At 45.1% G+C, this 21421-nt stretch overlaps 1 protein-coding gene across 1 annotated transcript in view, besides 3 other annotated features; it reads left to right on the top strand.

Annotated features, from left to right (window-relative positions):
• The window catches only part of HEG1 (heart development protein with EGF like domains 1), a 90288-nt gene that overhangs the window by 1409 nt on the left and 67458 nt on the right, over positions 1-21421 (top strand). The gene's annotated exons all lie outside the window — the stretch shown is intronic.
• Positions 2432-2481: a silencer, noted in NCBI's record as "silent region_14657". NCBI's record gives its function as "represses an Ori minimal core promoter by ATAC-STARR-seq in GM12878 lymphoblastoid cells {active_cell/tissue: GM12878}" and the evidence as "EXISTENCE:reporter gene assay evidence [ECO:0000049][PMID:35858748]".
• Positions 2622-2751: an enhancer, noted in NCBI's record as "active region_20408". NCBI's record gives its function as "activates an Ori minimal core promoter by ATAC-STARR-seq in GM12878 lymphoblastoid cells {active_cell/tissue: GM12878}" and the evidence as "EXISTENCE:reporter gene assay evidence [ECO:0000049][PMID:35858748]".
• Positions 10203-10716: an enhancer, noted in NCBI's record as "H3K4me1 hESC enhancer chr3:124762717-124763230 (GRCh37/hg19 assembly coordinates)". NCBI's record gives its function as "activates a minimal SCP1, AML or CMV promoter by ChIP-STARR-seq in primed H9 embryonic stem cells {active_cell/tissue: H9 hESC(primed)}" and the evidence as "EXISTENCE:reporter gene assay evidence [ECO:0000049][PMID:30033119]".

Genomic DNA, 21421 nt, shown 5'->3' with positions numbered 1-21421 from the left:
AACACTGGACATTGATTTGGAGTTTCCCTGAAAGTTGAGTTTTTTGTCTGCATAATTGACAATTCATTTAAGTTTCTCATCTCATGCAGACTTTCTGGCACGTGAATTAGCTTGCTTCCTCCAACCTAGAGGTGCTTCTTAGAGTTAAATAAGAAAAAGTTTGGATTTTTAAAAATCAAGTTCTCCTGTAAAAACTCAATTTCATATTCAACAGTATTCCCATTATCGCAAAATGCCTTATTTTGTGAATTTTTAAATCACTGGCATAAGATTGAGAAACCGAGGAACAGTAAGAAAAGGGAGAGGAGAGATAAGCTTCTGAAGACGTGTAGGAGACACATCCCGGAGTGACTGTGACTTTAGATTACTTACAGCATACGCTGTTTTGCTAACTTCCACGGGAAGGAATCAAGAACATAAAACAACATATTTCCCGACTTTCTCCAACTAGGAAAGTAACTGAGGAACACTGTGTAGTATTTTGTGAGTTTTTCTAAACAGAAGGTGAACTGCAGAGAACTGAGAACATTTCAGAGGAGACACCCAAGAGCCGAAGGCAGATTTCTCTGGGTAGTAGTCAGGCTGTCTTAGCTGAATGGCCTCCATCTTGTTAGGGGATAGGTGGGAGGGACACTGACTTGCAGGGGCCCTGGCTGGATGGGGCAGGCACATGAGTCTCTTTCCTTCTCTTAGGGGCGGGATCTCTAGAGAGAGGTAGGTATTACAGGTATTACAGAGAGGTAGGGACAGTGGAGGCAGCTAGCTTAGAGGACTCAGCTGGTAAGAATTGGGGCCTTATGTGACCCAAACATCCCTCACAGGTGTGGCAGGTAACACTGCTGGTCTTGGTTTTGTGGCTTTCCCAGTTTGATTCCTTTGCAGAGGTGAGTGATGGAGGCTTCAGGTATATGAGGTACTGGAAGGAATACATGTGAGAATCCCAGAAAGCAGCGAGAGAGTAGTTGGAATAGTGTACACCTTCTCTTACCTAGGTAGGTTCTCTTGGTCTCCTGGTGCCCCACAGACACCACCCAAGGAGTGCCTCCTCTTCAGTGGCTCAAAGGCCCAATCTCTGAAGGGATGTTAGGAAGGTGCGATTAGAAGAGATGAAATGAACACCTGTTGAAGCTGCTAGAAGCTACTCATATGGCCAAGGATCTAGGCATGACCTGTGCTTTTTTTTCTGGTAGTGGCTCAAACAGTATCATTTAGGGGTAAAAAAGAAACAACACATAAGAAAACCAGTGTTCAGTGATTTCAGTGAGTCTGAGTTTTCTGATAACCAGGATTGGGAGCCTTTTGGATGGGTCCTCCTGTATCACTAGATGCTATCACTCATTTCACAAGGCAGCAAGGTCTCAATGCTGAGAGGGCCTCCACAGGTCCTCCAGTCTGCAATGTGTCCCATGCAAATGTCTGCCCCTCCAGCACCCCTGACAGATGGTCATCCCGGCTCTCCCTCAGCATTTTTGTGTTTGGGGAGGCACCATGCTACTGTCACTAACAAGCCCTGAGTCTTACAAGTAACGTGCTCCATTTGGTTGTTGGAGAAGCTTCCTGCAGGCCTTTCGTGCCATGGGGATGCTGGTAGTCAGGGCCTGGCCCCTGGGACTTCCAAATACACTGATGTCAGCAGCAAGGGCCACAGATGTCCTTTTCTTCCCTGTGGGCCATTTCCAGCTCTTCTCTTCCTGGCAGAGTTCAACTTCTCACTGCTGAGTAACCGCGTTTGCATTCCATTATGTGGATTGTTTGCCTGTATTAGACTGTAAGTCCCTGGAGAGCAGCTCCCTGTTTATATAGCCATTGTTAAGCTTTTGCACCCACCCGTCACCCTGCTGGCTGTTCAGCTGATGTTTATTGCTGGTGTTTCAGCCAGTGGTGACAAGATGCTGAGACCTAGAGGTTTTCTTTTTCTGCGTGTGTTTTTCTACCACTCAGGACTTCCGAGCCACAGTTCTAAGCTGAATGCAAAGTTTATATGCCTTAATTTTGTGATCCATATGCTATGCTTTAATTGTGAGATCTGCAGATGAGAGGGAGAGAAGGCTTAAATCATAATGAAAATCAATGCAGAAGGAAAGAACTTTCCCACCCAAAGGGGAAATGACGCTGAGTAGCTGAGCAGCCAGCCCGAGAAACAATAATCTTAGAAAAATGCAGCTCCCTGGAGGAAAGGAAGCGCTTTGAGCTGAGCCCCGTCTGAGCTGTTAAATAGCTGTCGCCTGAATTGCTCTAACTTTGTGGGCCAACTTCGTCATTTAGCTTGGCTGCTGGGAGAACCATTACAAGGTGCAGCGGGCAAGAGACAGCCCCTCAGGGAGGGGAGAGTGGCTTCCCTCCAGAAGGCGGCTACCTCACTCCTGGCGGAGGCTTGGGGGTGGTGGTAGTGGGGATTCCTGAGAAGCCTGTTTGCTTTGATGGAGGGTGTCCCAAATAGAAGGGGGGGAGGCGGGAGGGGGCAAGGGACTCTCCGTGGTGCATGAGTGTTTAAAAGCCACATCCTTTTTACCTTGCAAGAACCCTTTTATTGCTTTCCTCAGCCTGTGTGCACATGCTGAACTGTTATGTTTTGCCAGAGACCCGAATGGTGTGGACTGAGGGAGACTGAAAGGTATTTGCTGCCCAGCTGGGCAGTTTCTGCATCCTTGTCCTGGAGGCTGGGGAAGGAGCCTCTGCCCTCCTGGTGATCCCTCCTGCCTTCCAGCAGCCCCGCCCAGCTGGCTGAAAACAGTGTTCCTGAATTTAACTTGTCCTTGTCCAGAGACACTCAGAAAGAAAGCAAAGAACAGATGGCAGTTGTGGTTTTGTTAGCCACTTACTGCCTTCTTCAGTGGCTTCCCTCTGTCTCCAGCGTCCTTTTTGTATGAATGGGAGGTTTCAGCTGCAGTAAATATTCTCTTCCAAGAATCCTGGGGAGGCAACAAGGAAGGAAACTAGTTTTGGGGTCTGACTTTTGACTCCCTGGCCTTTGAACACGTATGTGTGGTCGGCGCCTTCACACTCCTTATCCATTTAATCCTCAAAACAAGCCCGTGAGGGATGTTATTTGCCTTTTACAGTTCTGGAAACAGTAGCCTGGAGAGGTTAGATCACACGGTAAATGGAGGCGGCAGGATTTTAATAGATTTTGACCAAATCCATGTGCTTGTCCCACAATATCAGGAGGTCTCAGTTTTCTCATCTGTAAAATGGGGTACCAGTTGTCCTAGATCTCTAAGATCCTCTCCTGCTCATCATTCGTCTTCCTCCCTCCCTCCATTCCTTGCTCTTGCTTTTTTGTAGAGATTAGGGGCCAGCATTGGCGTGGGGAAAATATGAGGAGATGGCAGTGGCAATGAGGACACCTATTGAGTAAAAATTTTTTAAAAATTTTGTTTGAAATTACCTGAGACAAGACCACAAGTCTTTAAAATGACATTTTATATAGAGATTGTAAATTATGCCCTACTCATATGCCAATCCATAGGTTATTGATGCCAGAGGTTGCTGCATTAATTATAAGCCAAGCTGAAATGAATTGGTGACTTTCTTAATGGGCCCTCTCCTGGGAACGTGGAGCAGTGGCTGACATTGTGAGGCAGTTGTTATGAATACCTGCCCAGTAGGAGGCGAGGTTAAATGGTACTCCATGCAGATGCTGTCAAATTGCTTTCATTTGAACATCTATGCTCTCTTCTACCCACTCACCATTCATCAGGCATAGACAGAAACAAAGACATTTCTATCCTGTTTTTTCACTCTTCTTTTGTTGGAGTGTGGCAGATGCCTCTATTTGTGTCACATTGGACTGATTTGTAAATCAAGATATATTTACAGAAGCCTTGCTATGTGGAAGAGCCGTGTGAGGTGATGAGGTTGCAGTGCCTGTCTGTGATGCCCCCAGGGAACATTCAGTCTTGTTGGAGCACACACATCAAGATTGTAAAAAGCGAAATAACGATGCATGAGTGATTCACAACTGAAGAAATGCCACAGGAGATCATACTGACCAAAGGAATGGTGAGGGTGGAAATGGGCTGCTGCATGCAGACGTGGAGACCACTGGGGGCTGGATAGTCCAGGGAGACTTCAGTGGGAAAGGGGGGAGTTGATTTAACTTTGAAAGTTGACTGGGATGTGGATAGACAGGGAGGTGGAGGATGGGCTGGGCATGATGGCTCACGCCTGTAATCTCAGCACTTTGGGAGGCCAAGTCGGGTGGATCACTTGAGGTCAGGAGTTCCAGACCAGCCTGGCCAACATGGTGAAACCCTGTCTCTACTCAAAATACAAAAATTAGCTGGGCATGGTGGCATGTGCCTGTAATCCCAGCTACTCAGGAGGCTGAGGCATGAGAATCGCTTGAACCTGGGAGCCGGAGGTTGCAGTTAGCCGAGAGTACACCACTACACTCTAGCTTGGGCAACAAAGTGAGACTTCATCTCAAAAAAAAAAAAAAAAAAAGAGAGTTGGTGGATGAATGGCATCCACAAAATCCCAAATATTGAAAAGCCCAAGACTTTTCAAAAGGGAGGTGATCAACAGTCAGTAAGGCTGGAGAAAAGGACTTGAAGAGGCCAGTTAGGCTCCCAAATCAACTAGTCATTGAAGACAAGACTGGAAAGGAGGATTAGACCTGATTGTGGAGGGCTTTAGAGGCCTGTTAAGGTGTTTGTTTTCATCCCATCCACACCAAGGAGCCCCTGATGGCTTCTGAACAGGGAAAGCATAATTAGCTTGTTCATTTCTGCTTGGAGCTGGGGCCTCATAGATGAACCACATACATATCTGCCCTCACTACAGCCCCGTAGTTGTTTAAGAGACACTGGAATGCTGGTGGGCATCGTATTGATGTGTTGGGAGGAAAGACTGAGGACAGAGCATGGGTTAGAGTGGAGGTAGTGGAAATTGAAAGGGAGAGATGCAAGGGCCACTTAAAAGAGTAAGGCTGGAGTAGTAGACTGCCTGGCCACGGGGATGATGGGACAGAATGGAGAGGAGCTCTTTGCTTTTAAAGGGGCTCCTTCAGTTTCAGCCGTTCAGTGTAAAGACTGCATGTCCCCTTGGAAGTATTCTGTGGATGGTTGAGAATGTGGAACTGAACTAGAGGGAGGCCGGGGCCAGATTCAGCCCTGAGGGGCAGTAGTTAAAGCCACGGAGGAAGAGGAAATCAGCTCCAGTCAGGTGGAGAACATCCAGTATGGATGGTGGGGAGGAAGGGATGCCAGCCCGGCATGAGGGCGCAATGAGAGGTGGGGGTGGCTTGCAGGTTGGCTGTGGATTGGCAGATAATCTGAATATAGCATGGTTTATGCATCATATGTGGAGGTCTGTGAAGGTCCATGTAAGTTAACATATTTCTGCTTTCTGTCTTGATTTGTCCTCTCATCTGGAAACTATCCAAGTTAAAAGGCAGAGGGAGACTGGGGAGAATGAGGTCTGGGGAAAGGCCTCTGGCCTCCATTCTGAACTGTTTAGTGGGACTCCTAAAAGTGCAGGAAGAAGCCTGCCTACCGTATGATAGGCATGGAAGGCCTGTCTGTGGCAAAGTTTGATGGTGAAATAAAAGAGGAAAATCAGAGAGAATCAGAATCCTTGATTCTCATCCCCTAACCCTGTGTCAACTCCTGCCTCTTCCCATGTCGGCAGTTAGCAACAACATGCACCTAGTTCCTTAAGCTAGAAGCCTAGAAGTCACCCTCCATTCCTCTCCTTTCCTCACCCACTACCGTGATTCTTTTTTGGCAACTCCAGGTGATCCTGTTTCCAGAATACATGGTGAATCTGCTCTCTTCCTCCCCACTGCTCTTTTCTGTTGTTTGCATCCACTTATGCTCTCTCTCTAATCTGTACTCACAGAAGCCAGAGTGATCTTCTTAAAATGTAACTCAGGTCACCTTACTCGGAGGCTTAACACCCTCAAAGAGCTTTGCGTTGTACTTAGAATAAAATCCAGACCCCCTAAATTGGAATATGAGGCCTGCAGGATCTGACTGGCCACCTCTCTCACCTTCTCTTGCTCTGCTCTCCACTTACACCAGACAGTTGTTAATACATGCCAAACTCATTCCTGTCTTGGAGACTTGGCACATGGCATCCCCCTGCCTATAGCAGCAAGAGCCTTCCAGGCAGGGGGAGCAGCCAGGGCAGATGATCTAAGGCAGGACCCAGCTTGCCTTGTCTCAGGATTGGCAAGAAGGAAGGCCAGGGTGTCTGGATCACCCAGGGCCATGAGGACCATGGTAAGGAGGTCGATTTTCCTCTAGGTGCCGTGGAGGGTCCTGCAGCAGGGTCTGCACCACCACATGGTATGGGGCTCTGGTTGCAAGGTCTCTTAAGGAGCTGGAAAGACCATCTGCAAAGTCTAGAGGCTATTAAAAATGGACAGTTTCCTTTTGCTTAATATTTTAGCTCTGAGGTACTTGAACTTCATTCTAGCTTTCATGTCATGTAAACGTTTTTGAGGAAAGCTTACAGGTCAGATGGCATGGGAGGCAGACAAGACTTCAATCCCAATTCCTGGGATGTCTCGGGGGACTTGAGGGAGGATCTGACCTCACTGAAGACCCTGAATAACAGGAGCCCCCATCTATCTGTGCAGAGAAGGTGCTGAAGGCAAAGAAATGGATTTGATAAGTTGACAAGTTTCTTCTTGATGTCTCTGATAGGCTGGGAAATGAAGATAGGGGAGGAAGAAAAGTGACAAGAAGAGGGCAGAGGCCAAGGTGAAGCTCTTCAGGTGGCCCTGCAGTTCCACCTTGGAACTGAAGAATCAAATTGGAGGAAGGAGTAGCAAGAGGCAGGAGAGAGACACCTGCTTGTCATCTGGAGGGAGGTTCCTAGTGCAGGGCTGTGACTAGTGATTATCATATGTTGGGCTAGAATTGAAAACCACTCCATTTTCCTTTTCTGGGTGATAGGAGATGGAAACAGCTTCAACTTGGGGACGGGTTTCACTCCTGCAACCTCCCTGGCCACTAGGACCTTTATTATGGCCATGTGGTGAGACTTTTTCAGGGATCATCTTTTGCCAGGGTGTAGACGAGAGCCCTGCTGGTGTTGCAGTCACAGACCACAGAGGTCCCGGCTTGGAAGCGTCAGACAGTCTCAATTCAAACCCTAGCAGTGCCACTTGCCAGCTGTAGGACTGTGGTAGGTTATTTAGCCTCTCTGTGCGGTCAGTTTATCATCTGTCAAATGGGCTATTAGTAGAAAGAGCCCTGCGCAGAATGGAGAGGTGCAGATAACACCTGTAAAGTAGACGGCTTGATGCCTGGGCAAGAGAGCTCTAGAAATACTAGCAATGATGATGCTACTGAAACCAGTGCCCATTTACACTGGTCATTGTGTTGACAGCAACCCTCCCATCGCACCTTGCCTTCCAGGCATTTTACTGGACAGTGGGCAAGCTCCCTGCCTAGGGTTCAAGTCCATGTTCCAAAGACCTCTGTTAACTGGTCTTCCCCTCGTTGGACCCCTGCCAACCTCACCCCTTGGTATCCCTAGAACTCTCTCTTGCTTCTTAGCCTTAAACATGGAGAGGAAAGAGCCAACTTTCATGATTTGAAGTCAGAAAAACCAAGTGCAACAGCCCTCACCTATGGTCATCTGAGGAGACCAGATGAACGCATAGAAAGCTATTAGGATTGAATAAAAGCAGTATGCCAGGTGTGACCACAAAATAAGAAGCCTTTGAAAATCAGTCACACTTGGACCTCTGTGGTCAATGAGTGTTCTTCAAATCAGAACCTTTGGGGGTTATCAATACGTGCTTCACAAGTGTTTGAAGGAGTTGAGAGCCACCTTCAGAGTGTGTGTGAGCCACATGAGCAACTCCCTTGTGTTTCTTGCAGCAAACCTCCTGGATTGAAAATGGGGTTGCGGATCTCTATCTACTGCATCTTTCATCAGATCGTCTTTGAAGTTTTGTGTTTCCAAAATAATCCAACATCATTATCAAGGGATGGAAATGTATCATTATTCAGGAAACTCAAGAGAACAATATTCTGCAGGCTCTATTGAAAACTAGCCAGTTGGGTCGGGCACAGTGGCTCACACTTGTAAACCCAGCACTTTGGGAGCTGAGGCAGGAGAATTGCTTGAGGCCAGGCATTCAAGACCAGCCTAGGCAACATAGTGAGACCTCATCTGTATAATTAAAAAAATATATATGTGTGTGTGTGTGTGTGTGTGTGTGTGTGTGTGTGTATGTGTATATATATATATACATATACATATATATGAAAAAAGAAAAGTAGCAAATTTTAGAAAATGGTTTGAGCAATAACAGTATTGATGGAATAAGTATTGTCTTATTGGGACCTCTTTGAAGAGGACCATACTCACTTGGGTAGGGGAATTCTTGTGGTTTGTTAGGAATTATTTCTAGTACAGTCATGCTTTATGGTAATGGAGTGCTACTGGCTGTAGCTGCTAGCAGAGTTGGGGAGAGATGCCGTGGAGCTCTGGCGGGGGTTGGAGGAACTGTGCTTAACCCCTTCTGCTTTCTGCCTCTGTGGCATTGGATAGCTGCCTAATGTCCCTAGGCCTTAATTTCCTCATATTAAAAATGAGGATAATAAAGACTTTCCTGCTCCTAACAAGGTTTTTGAGGAGGAGCAAATATAATTATGACTGTGAAAGCACTTGTAACTGGACAGAGCAATGTTTTAGTTGTGATATAGTGAACTGGCCATGACCTTGGGCAAGTCATTTAACTTCTGTACCTGCTTCCGTATATGTAAAATGGAGACGATAACTGTTTTGTTGACTTCAGTGTTGTTGGAAGGATGAATGGAGCTGATCCACATGGACGCGCTTTGTAAACATGCATGTGCTGTGTACGTGTTGGTCATGAATGCTTCCCGGGAACACATCAGGCGTTATGTCTCTAAGAGAGTCAGGCATCAGGAAGAGGTAGACATGGAAGGATGAGTGGAAAATTGGAGAGGAGTTGGAGAAAGGGAGAACATTGCTGAGAAATCTCAATAGCCTTTTCAGTTGTTCGTCTCTGTCCTGTCATCTGTCTGTGATTGCCATGGCTAACGCTTTCCCATCTCTTCTGCCTCCCACCAGGTGGGATGTCCTTCACAGCTCTACCCTTGACCTTCTGCCTCCCCCTCGGTTCAGTGAACATTTATGGAGCACCTGCTATGAGCCACAGTCTCTCATAAGAGACCTAGGATTGCGAGAGAATAAGCTAGAATTGTGTAACAAGATAAAATAGTCCAGAGGGAGAGAGTTGTCTCTGGGGAATACTTCTTGGAAGGGGTGATCTCTGAGCTGATTTTGCCAGGAGGCCGAGGGGAAGGAAGTAGGACAGTCTAGGTAGAGAGAACTGTGGGACAAAGGCAGTTCCCTGTTTTCTCCGAGTGGGTGCTTCCAACTACAGTCCAGTTCTGTGCCTTCAGCCATCTGCCAGCATTCGCACAGGTTTAGTGAGCTTCACTTTAAACCAACAGGTAACAGTTATAAATGCAAACACATCATCTCTTCCTCCTCTAAGACCTGACCTCCCTTTGCTTGCTAATGGTCCCACTAATCTCCCAATAATGCACTCAAACCATCATCTTCGTCTCTTGCCACCTTTTCTTACTTACATGAAATCAGCATGGACTCCTCTCTCTCCCTTCCTCCCATCCTTGCTTCCTCCCTTTCTTCTAAATCGTATCAGAGCGCTGAATTCCATTTGGACAGTGAGTTACATAGGACATCAAGATGTCATATCCCTGTTTGTGTCAGGAAATTGCAGTTTGGATCCCAGTGTCCTTAGTGAGACATCCCCGAAGCCCACAAGGAGGAAGCCTAGCTCTGTCCTTTCTGGCTTTTGCTTTCAGTACATGTTACCCTTTCTCTGGAGCGCTCAGTCTTAGTTTTGCCCTTTCTTATTTCATTCTTTCTCTATTTCTGTATTTTTTTTAAACTGGATTTTCATTGCAGTCAGACGGACCTGGGTTTGGATCCAGTTTTACTATTTGCTGTGTAACCTTGGACAAATTACTTAATCTCACTACACCTCAGTTTCCTTATCAGAAAAGTAGGGATAATAACGGGAGGACCTCATAAGGCTGTCGTGAGGATGGATTGAGACAGTCTATGTGAAATGCTTAGCACAGTGGCTGGCATGGAGTGGATGCTACCTACGTTTTGGCTGCAATATAACAATAATAATCATTACTATTGTCCTGCTCTGGTATGTCTTTTGAAAAAATTCCTTAACTTTATTTCTTTTTGTCTTATTTCTCTTTTCAGCCCCCGTCCTTGCTTCCTCTTTCTCTGTTTTATCTTTCTTAAATGGCTATGGCATACAACTGATTTTTTGAAATACTGGTTATATTTGAATAGAATGTCAGGTTTCCTAATCTTGATTTACAAAACGCATTAGCAGACTTTACATTTCTCCCTTAACTAGATTTTAGCTTCTCCCCTCGGAGGCCCTGGAGCTCCCTCCCATCAGCCAGCACAGGCCTCAGAGCCCTTGGTGCTGAAACATCACTCCACGGCTCCATTTTCTAGCAGTCGTCAACGCTCCAGACAAATGATGTTTCTATGATTTCCTCAGAGTCCTGGGCCACTTCACAGAGGTCTGTCGAGTAAATTAACTGCAGAGCTTCTGAAAGTCAGCCGCCAGCTGTGTGGACACCGGGGCCCGGGCCCAGGCCGGGCTGCCCAGTGTGCACACCCCTGGGAGCAGGCCCGTTTCCTCCCGCCCCTCCTGCACCCGCCTCTCCCCCCTCTTCCTCCTCGGAACCAGGATGTTTTTCCTCGCCTTTTTATTGTTTCGCTAACCTGGCAGGTCTCCTTTGGTGGAGCCCTGCCACCCAGCTTCCTCTCTGGGTGTGATCAAATGTGACGGTGACAACACAGGAGACCCGGAAGGCCCGCACCACCCCGCTGGCACCCTTGGCCTTCGCGTCCAGAGGGGACTGGGAGCTACCAGCTTCAACTTCTTTCTAGAAACTCCCCCTTTACCAAAGAGCCTCCTCTTCAGCCACTGTGTTGGATGTTTATTTGTCAAAGGATGAGAGGGGCAAAGAAAATGGAGGCAGCAAGGAAGGTGCCCCTAGAAACAAGGTAGACCCCCTTTCCTCCCTGCAGAAAGCCTTTTTGTTCACTTATTTAACCAACTGGGAATCTTCTGACCTTTGACCCTAGGACTTTTCCTCAAGGCCTTGGAAAAAAAAAAACCTATAGAATTCCTTTTAAAGCAAAGAGCTTGAGGTCACTCCAAGGTCCTTCATCTTTCACTCCTGCTGGGATAGGCTGTATCCCTCCTTCATGCCCGAGGCCACCTCAGAGCCAGTTCTATTTCTGGAAGGCTGACCCTGACTTGGGAGCTCCAGGCCAGGCCTCCCCTGGGTCTGGGTTCAGTCCAGCAGACGTCTGTCACCCGGAGAGAATGCTCAGCTGAACAAGAGCCGACCCCTCACAGGGAGGGGAGGTAGATTTTACTTTCTTCATCGCTAGAGCGCTTGCAGGGGAAGCGTTTTAAAAATCTGATCGTCAAATCTCATGTCTAGCACTTTCCAACATGCTTGATTTTTCTTAGGGCTGCTTCTTTCAGAGCAAGAACAAGGAAGGAAACGAAACTCCCTGAGAGCCCTGGACAGTCCAGATCGAGGGCTGAGTCTTTTGTTCACACAAACTCATTTGGCTTCTAAACGTCCTCCACCCAAAATCATTACATCCGCAGCAGCATTTCAAAACACAGCCCAGAGTGGCCTCGCTGAGTGGGCGGCTGCTTTTCTGGGGAGGCTGCAGCCACCTTCCCACAGGCCCCCAAGGTTCTTGCATGTCCCAGAATATCCCGCTGCTGGCCACCGGCCTGAAATCCCCCTCATCCGGAGGACCCTTGGTGGAAGGTATGAGGCAAAGAGGGCCTGCAGGGGAAGGGCCCCTGCTGTCTGAAGGGGACTGGGACTGGCAGCCGTGGAAGGGAGGATGAGTTTCTAATCCTAACCTTGCCCCTTCCAAACTCCCAGGCACAGTCTCAGTGTCTACCCCTGGGGGGCCCGTTCTCACACCCCAGAAGCATCATAGGGACTTATTAACATGGTCCAGCTCTCCTGGAACTCCTTGAGGTAGATTCTATACCTGATTCATCCGTGTAACCCTCACAGTGTCTTGCTTATGGTTGGTGCTCAGTAAATACATACTTTTTTATTTTTTTATTTTTTTTGAGACAAGAGTCTTGCTCTGTCACCCAGGCTGGAGTGCAGTGGCATGATCTCGGCTCACTGAAACCTCCGCCTCCCAGGTTCAAGTGATTCTTGTACCTCAGCCTCCTGAGTAGCTGAGATTACAGACATGTGCCACCATGCCTGGCTAATTTTTGTAGTTTTAATACAGACAGGGTTTTGCCATGTTGGCCAGGCTGGTCTCGAACTCCTAACCTCAAGTGATCCACCCGCCTCGGCCTCCCAAATTGCTGGGATTACAGGCATGAGCCACTGCGTTTGGCCTAGTAAATACATACATTTCTTATTGTAGTAAAATATGCACAACATAAAATTTACCATTTTAACCATTTTTAAGTATACAGTTCAGTGGCATTGAGTACAATCACAATGTTGTTGCAATCATCGTCACCATCTGTTTACTGAAATTTTTCATCATCCCAAATAGAAACTCATTAAATAATAACTTCTTGTTCCTCCCTGCTTCCAGCCCCTGATAAACCTTTATTCCGCTTTCTGTCTCTGTGATTTTGCCTATTCTTGATACCTCATGAAAGTGGAATCATGTAATATTTGTCCTTTTGTGGCTGGCTTATTTCACTTACCATCATGTTTTTAGGGTTTACCCATGTTGTAGCATGTGTTAGAATTTCCCTCATTTTGAAGGCTGAATAATATCCCATTGTACGTATATACCACATTTTGTTTATCCTTTCATCTACTGATAGACAGCTGGGTTGCTTTCATCTTTTAGCTGTTGTGAATAATCCTGCTATGAAAATGGGTGCATAAGTGTCTGTTTGAGTTCCTGCTTTCAATTCTTTTGCATATAGACCCAGAAGTGGGATTGCTGGATCAACTCATAACTCTTAAGGTTTTGAGGAACCGCCATACTGTTTTCCACAGTGGCTGCACCATCTTACATTCCCACCAGCACTGCGGGAGTGTTCTGAGTTCTCCATATCCTCGCCAGCATTTCTTTTCCATTCTTCCTTTTTGATAATAGCCTTCCTAATGGGTATGAAAGTAAATATTTTTTGAATTTATAAATGCTACTCATTGGTGTATTGCAGATTTGAAACTGTTACTATACCTCTTGGACCTCAGTCCTGTGAAGGTCAGGTTATTTGGTTGCTATGGTCCCTAAGGGTAGTGGTCACCTTTGGAGAGGGATGGGGGCACCAGAGACAATCCAGGTAACTTTGGCCAGAATGAAGGATGTAAAGCAGTATGGATGCTAGTCAGTAGAGCTTGCCACACGCCGGAAATCAGTTTAGCAAGAGCTTCTCTCTGCTCAATCTTCACTGGTTTTCATTTGAAAGTGGTCAGTTAGGAAAGACACTGGAATGAAGGAGCTGGGCTCTAGTCTCTGCTCTGCCACCTATTTTCTGGGTTAACCTGGGCAGGTGACTTATGTACTGAGCCTCAGTCTCCACTTCTGTAAAATAGGGCAAGAATTACCCTCCTGCCTGCCACTCAGAGGGTCAGAATCTAAAGGGATAATTTAGGCCATGAAATTATCCTGTGAAAAGTGCTTTGTCGATTGTAAAATGCATGGGAATTTTTTTCTTAATTTGATCTGTGGGAAGAGAAGCACAGATTCATTCTCCTGGAAAGGACCTGTGAACAGTAGTCTGCCCCTCTTCAGTCTGTGGCCATCCATCATACTCAAAGGGGAATTTTAAAGGAGGGTGCTAAAAGTCCTTTAAAAAAAAAAAAGCCTGTTTTCTCCCCTCCCTGTGTGAACAATTAAATTTTAGGAAAATGTTTTAAAATGACAAAGAAACCCACTCTCATAGGTATAAGGATCCATTGCTGGTATCTAAGACAATGTTATATTTTCATTTGATTGTGGTCCACCAGTCCCCAAATTGAGGATCCCAGGAATGCTCTACCGGGGAGGCAGGAACGGGCAATTCCACAGCTGAGCATCAGTGTCTTACTGTTCTGGAACCGCTCCCTTTTGAGCAATATGACCTTCATCTTTCTTCTACCAGGCGACACCCTAGAAAGACCTAGGGACTTTCTGTAGGGCTGGTCTCACTGCCTTCCTCTTCACTGGCTCCTACCTTTAATTTTGTCCTATCCTTCCCTTGTCATCTGCGTCTCTGTCACTGGCTCTTCTCCTGTCTCTACATTCAAGTTTTCCCGGGAATCAGTCCTTGATCCTTGATTTTTCCCTTCGTATGTCATATCCTGTCCTTTCTCCTAATCAACGGTCCCAAATCTTTAACTGTCTGCCAGACATTTTCCCTTGGAAGTTGTAACATCACCCCAAACGTCACATATCAAAAACAGACTTTTCTTGTTCCTCAAGCTCATTCTCCGTTATGGCTCCACTCTTTCTCTCTTATTCTTTTCGTTATGCGTAAAAATCCTCTCTGAGTTAGAAGCTGATCTAGAAGTCCTCTTGCTCAGTCTTCCAGCTAATAATGTGCAGCTGTTGTCAAATCAAGTCTGTCTGATTCCAAAGCCCGTGTGATAGGCACCATTTCATTCCTCTTAGAGAGAAACAAGGTCAGCACAGTTGTGTTTCAAGCTGCAGTTTGGCTTTTTGTGGGGGACTTGTTTTTTTTTGTTGTTTTTTTTTTTTTTGGCTCTGTTCTTTTGGCCAGTGCCTTAAAGCCTCATGGAATAAGCTGGAGTGTGATGGAATGAGCCCTAGGTTCAGACTGTGTCTGTACTGCTAGTGAGTGCGTGACCTGGAACAATCACTTAATCTTTCTGACCCTCAGTTTCCCCATGTGCTATATGAGGATAATAATACCCGCTTGACAGGGTATTAATGAGATAATGCATGTGAAAATGTTTAGCACGTGGTAAGCCCTAAATAGATGTTAGTGAAATCTGAATCCAAATGGAGGGAAAAGAAAATAAAGGGCTTGTTCTTCAATTGTGTGCCCCAGAAGCTTGTAGCTGGCAGCGCTTGTCATTTGGCCCGCTGCGGGGGTTGAGGCTGAGGTGTGGGGGTGGGGTGGACCCTCCAGGAGGAAATTACCTCTTTGGATAAGACAGCACACTCCCTGTATGCTCCTACTCACTCCACTGCTCAGAAACAATGCAAACTGAAAAGCCCCAAATCACTGGCAGGGAGTGGGGGGTGGCAAGGAGTTGACTCTGTAGCAGCTGCTAATTAGGAAATCCTATTCTTGGGCTGTGCTAGCATCCCTGATGATGCTGGTTCACAAACAGATGTTTTGGAACATTAAGACGCTACAGAAGTGGAAGTTGTCAATTAGGAGGAAAAAAAAAACAGGCAAAGCAAGCAATAAAACGCTCTTGTTAATTTAATCTCCATTCATGGTACAAGGGAAAGTTATGGCCCAGCACAGGGGGCTAAGTACAGAGGGAAGGATGGTATTTTCAGCTCAAAAGATACCTGAGAAATGGGATGTCTAATCTCCAATATGAGGAGGGTTGGTGTGAATGGGGTTTGAATGATTGTCTCTGACCATCTGCGAAGCTGGCCTGGGTGAGGTGCACAGCACCAGCCTACTAAGCCTCCAGGGTGCCCCCTCCCACCCCATGAATGTCTGAGGGGGCACAGCCTCTTCTCCTTACTCCTGACTTCATTGGGCCCAGGCTCTGAAGCTTGAGGAATCCCGTCTCCTTTCCATTTCTCCAGGGCCGTTTCTCTTCTCCACCAAGAATAAGAGCAGGTTCTTTGACACCTCGCCCTCCATGTGGCAGGTTTATTCCAAATTACTCTCCTACTCAGGGTGTACACAGGTGCTGAATAGGGAGCCATGCCCTAAACAGAATTCATCCACAGTGGCCCTGATGAACTCAGGGCTTCAGAAAGGATCAGTCATTGGACTTCAGTACATATTTTAGCATTTGACCCATTGTCCCCACTGCGATGCCACCTGGAATGGTGTAAAGCGCTTGGATGTTCACAGTCAAACAAGACCTCCAGTGGCAGTAGGGGTGGGCTGGGGGTGTTGCCTGCTCCAGCTATGTGGTTTATTAATCCCTTTCCAAGGAAGAGTTAGTAGGCAATAAGAGAGATAGAGGGGTACCCGGAGTTCAATAGGGGACAGTGGGATATTGTTCTTTTGGGGTACCAGGCCAGTGACTTCAAGAGCTTGCTGTGCTGGAGGTGGTCCCAGGTCTCACGCTGTGCGTCCTAAGCTCTCCCTATACCTCCTAGGAGAGGTGTCGTGGAGTGGAATTCAGCGAGGCCCAAACTGTTCCTGCAGCCATTTGTCTAGCCTCAGTGCTTTTGTCAGAGTGGATTCCTAGCTTCCAAGAGGGCTTGGGAGCCTGGGGCCACTCTGGTATGGGCTGTGGTCCACTACCTGAAGAAGGGTTAGGACACTGAGCTTTGATTGATTAGCAGTGCCTGCCAAGGTCATCCACCCAAATCTATTTCTTAAAAGTTGACAACCCTAAATCCATTTAATAGCTATGACATATGTAGCATTCACTGTGTACCAGGCACTCTTTCTAAGCTCTTACATGTCTACATTCCATTGGTTTTCACAACAACCCAGTGAGGGAGATGCTGTTAATATCCTCATTTTACAGAAGGCAAGCTGGGGCATGAAGCAATTAAGGATCTCACTTAAGATCATAGGGTATGAAAGAGGTGGAGCCAGAAGTCTAACCTACATGGTCTGACTTGAACCACAGTCTGTGTATTCCCCCACTGCCTCTCTTATTAAGAATTGAATTTCTAGAGACACGGAAAGCAGTAGTTTCTCACCAGTGCAGGCGACTTTGGTACCCACTGACTAAGGAGAAGTGGAGGTGTAACCACAGAAGGCAGCTCTTTGGGGCCAGCAGGGCCCAGCAGTGGCTGCACTAACCAAGGGTGTATTTGGTGTCTAGCTGCTCTGCAGAGGTGGTCATGGGCTACCAGTTATGGCCATGACTGTTACTGAGTGTAGTTAGGCATCCAGGGGCAGAGCAGCTGAGGCACAAGGAAACTCATCAGTCTTTCAGCTATGCCATCAAAAGCCACTCACATGCTTACATTATGTTTCAGAAATGTCACTGGAACTCCTACCTACACACTTTGTTAGTAGCAAGTTGCATGAGCCAACTTTCTATTAAAGGTCTACAGACTTCACCTACCTTAGGAGGCCATCTGGGGACCCCAGAAAGCCCATTCCTAAGTGGCTTCTCCAGGTCCGTAGACCTGGGATCCTTTTATCAAGATACCAACCATTTTTGTTCTTTTTCTTAGGAGACAATTTGTCATAGATATATTTTTAATAACATGGAATCATATGATACATACTATTTTATAATTTATGTTTGCATTTGACAGTATAGTGTGAGCATAATACATAAGAAAAACTGTATCAACAATGTATTTTGGTCAATCCTTTAAAATGTTATCTCATAATTAAGTTAACCACCTCCCTATTGTAGAAATTTAGGTTGTTTCCACTTTTCATTATTATAAACAATTCTGTGATAAACTTCCTTATACCCGAAACTTTGCACCCTTCCTAATAATTTCCTTAGAACTGATTTCCAGAAATGGAATTCTTGGGCCAAAATATATGCCTATTTTTAATGCTTTTGCAATGGATTGCCAAATTCCTCACCAAAAGGACTGTGTTAATTGTATTTTTACCAATATCGTATGAAAGTACCTGTGATGACATTAGATATTATTCTTAAGTCTTTGCCAATTTGATACACAAAAATACAAAAGTAATGTAAAAGGTCTTTTCTAGTTTGGGTTTGTATTTCCATGCTTTTCAACAATGCTTTCATGTATTTATTCTCCACTTATATATTTCCTTTTGTGAATTGCACATTCATGTTCTTTGTCTACAAGGGGTACATCTTAGGGATTTGAAAAAGTTCTTTATGTGTTAAGGATGCTAAACATTTTTATCAGGCACTGCAGACATTTACCCTTGTTTGTCATTCAACTTTTTGCAAATATAGCTTTTATTTTTATCAGACTTATACATAGTTTGAAAATCAAATAGATTGTATAAGACTGTAATAAAAACTCTGACCACTCCTATTATCATCATTTTCTGTTCCCCAGAATTAACCATTCTCAACCCTTTTTTAACTGATTATCTTAGTAATTTTTTCCATATCTCTAACCTGCTTATGTTGCTATTTATTGATTTTTTTTTTAATTTTGGTTTTAGACAGTATTCACTGATTTCTCTCTATGACAATTTTGTATCATTCCAAGCTCTGCCAGTTTGGAAGTGACACACTCCATTTCTTTTCTTTTTTTTTTTTTTTTTGAGACAGGGTCTTGCTTTGTCATCCAGGCTAGAGTGCAGTGGCACCATCATAGCTCACTGCAGCCTTGACCTCCTAGGCTCAAACAGTCCTCCCACCCTAGCCTCCCAAGTAGCTGCAACTACAGGCATGTGCCACCATGCCTGGTTAATTTTTTTTTATTTTGTAGAGACAGAATCTCTACTTGAGGCCCAGGCTGGCCTCAAGTAATCCTCCCACCTCAGCCTCCCAAAGTGCTGAGATTACAGACATGAGCCACCATGCCAGGCCTCTATTTCTGTTCTTTAGAGAGGTATTTTAAATGCATTTTTCACAGAACTCAAAGTTACGCTTCTGCTATGCAACATGATTCTAATTATCCCATGCCAGACTTACGAACTATTGTTATCTAGGATTTGTTCTGACTTGTTTTATTAATTTCACAAATGAGAAATTATTGTTATTATTTCATAAATTCAGTGTTCCTTTAGATTTATTCACACATGTATTTTTTTTGCTCATTATATTGCCTTGCATCTGATATCTTTCATTAAGAATTGTTTTTCTTCTGCTTGAAAGAAATTTGTTATAATTTACTGTAGTAGAAATGGTTGAAAAACTCAATTTTGACTGAACGTGTTTTTATTTGATAGTCTGAAGATGTTTCTCAAAGATAGCTTTGCCGAATATACGATTATAGTTTTCTCTCTCAGCACGTTGAAAATATTTATCCACTGTCTTTTGGCTTCCATTGTCACTGTTGAGAAATCAGCTGTAATTGTCACCTTGTATAGATGATTTGCCATTTTTTTCCCCTCTGGTTGCTTTTAAGACCTACTCTTAGTCTGTGGTTTTTGTGCAGTTTCACTATGATAGAGGTACATGTTTCGTTTTTAATTTACTCTAAGGAGCCTCCTTAGAATGAAGATTTATAGTTCTCATTAGTTTGGGAAATTTTCCAGCCATTACCTTTTAAAATATTACCACTTCTGTAAGCCCCACACTTTGTGAGGCTGAGGTGGGCAGATCACCTGAGGTCAGGAGTTTGAGACCAGCCTGGGCAACAGGGTGAAACCCCATCTCTACTAAAAATACAAAAAAAATTAACCAGGTGTGATGGCACACCTGTAATCTCAGCTACTCAGGAGGCTGAGGCATGAGAATTGCTTGAACCCAGGATGTGGAGGCTGCAGTGAGCTGAGATGTACTCCAGCCTGGGTGACAGAGTGAGACTCTGTCTCAAATAAAAAAATAAAAATTAAATCAATGTTTTCACTTCTACTTTCTCTGTTTTCTCCTCCTAAACTCCAATCAGTTGTGTGTTGGACTTTCTCACTCTTTTTGTCTCTTAACCTCTTTTTCATATTTTCTGTTTTTTAATCTCATTTTGGGCATTCTGTTATCATTTATTTTCTAATTCATTTTTTTTTCTTTTGAGATGGTCTCACTCTGTTGTCCAAGCTGGAGTGCAGTGGCACAATCACAGCTCACTGCAACCTCCATGTCTCGGGCTCAAGCAATCCTTCCACCTCAGCCTTCCAAGTAGCTGGGACCACCGGTATGCACCACCACACCCAGCTAATTTTGTTTATTTTTTTGTAGAGACAAGGTCTCACTATGTTGCCCAGGCTGGTCTTGAACTCGTGGGCTCAAGTGATCCTCCTGCCTTGGTCTCCCAAAGTGCTAGAATTACAGGCATGAGCCACCATGCCTAGTGAATTATAATTATTTTCTAATTCTCACTTTGGCCATATCTAATCTGTTGTTGAGTTTTTAAAATTTCAATTATTACTTTTTTTATTTCTAGAATTTCCATCTAGCTTTCTTTCAAATATTTTGGGTTATTATTTATAGTCTCTTTTTAAAAAAATTTTTTCTAATGTAATTTTGTATACTTCTTTGTCTGGTAATTCTAGCATTTGAAGTCTTTGCTTCTCTAATTTGTTGGCAATTGTTTAACAAGCAAAGACTTCAACTACTAGAATTACCAGACAAAGAGGTGTGGATGTCTTGTTTCCTCATGGATGCCTCGTTTTCTCAATAAATGATAAAAACTGGTTTGAAGATATGTTTATCTAGAGAGCATTTGTATTTGTGTCTACACAATACAGGTACCTGGAGGCACTATCCATCAGGACCGCCCCTGCCCCATTATTAACAGGATGTGTGTGTATTGGAGATATAATTTACATCAGTGGTCCCCAACCTTTTTGGCACCAGGGACTGGTTTCATGGAAGACAATTTTTCCACGGATAGGGCGGGGTGGGGTGGGCCGGGGGTTGGGATGAAACTCTTCCACCTCAGATCATATCAGGCATTAGATTCTCATACGGAGCATGCAACCTAGATCTTTCGCACATGCGCAGTTCACAATAATGTTCTTGCTCCTTTGAGAATCTGATGCCACTGCTGATCTGTCAGGAGGCGGAGCTGAGGCGGTAATGCTCGCTCGCCCACTGCTCACCTCCTCCTGTGCAGCCTGGTTCCTAATAGCCCGCGGACCGCTACCAGTCCATGTCCTGGGTTTGGAGGTCCCTGATTTACATGCCATAAAGTTTACCCTTTGAAAGTATACAATTCGGTGGGTTTTAGTACATTCCCAGGATTCAGGACCACTCGTAAATACATCCTCAGTTTAGACCACAGAGGTAATGTGACATACAGCACACCCATACGAGGGCTAGCTTTGTGATTATATATACTCGGGTGAGATTTATTTTTTCTTTCACTTGAAACCAAGATTGAAGGGCCAGGTTTCCTTGCTGTGCCCTTCTGCGGGGCCGGTTTGTTTCTATTTGCCTTACACCCAAGGCATAGCTGTGTAAAGTCCCAGCTTTACACAGTGGTTTCCCGTTGGATTCCCTCCTTGAGAATCGTGGCTCCCATCTCCTGATTCTTGGCAGCCATCAGAACAGAAATTCAAGGTCACAAATGTTGAACAGGTGCCTCCAGGGCAGCTGCCAGCCTCAACATTAGCTCACTTCTCTGGATTCCTAGTCATGGTTCATTTTTGGCCTCAGATTTGATTCTTTACTTACTTGCCAGCTCAGCAGTGCTTTTAGAA

Source organism: Homo sapiens, chromosome 3, assembly GCF_000001405.40.
Source record: "Homo sapiens chromosome 3, GRCh38.p14 Primary Assembly".
NCBI classification, from domain to species: Eukaryota; Metazoa; Chordata; class Mammalia; order Primates; family Hominidae; genus Homo; species Homo sapiens.
The sequence above is the reverse complement of the archived record's forward strand: the minus strand, read 5'-3'. Positions and strand labels throughout refer to the sequence as shown.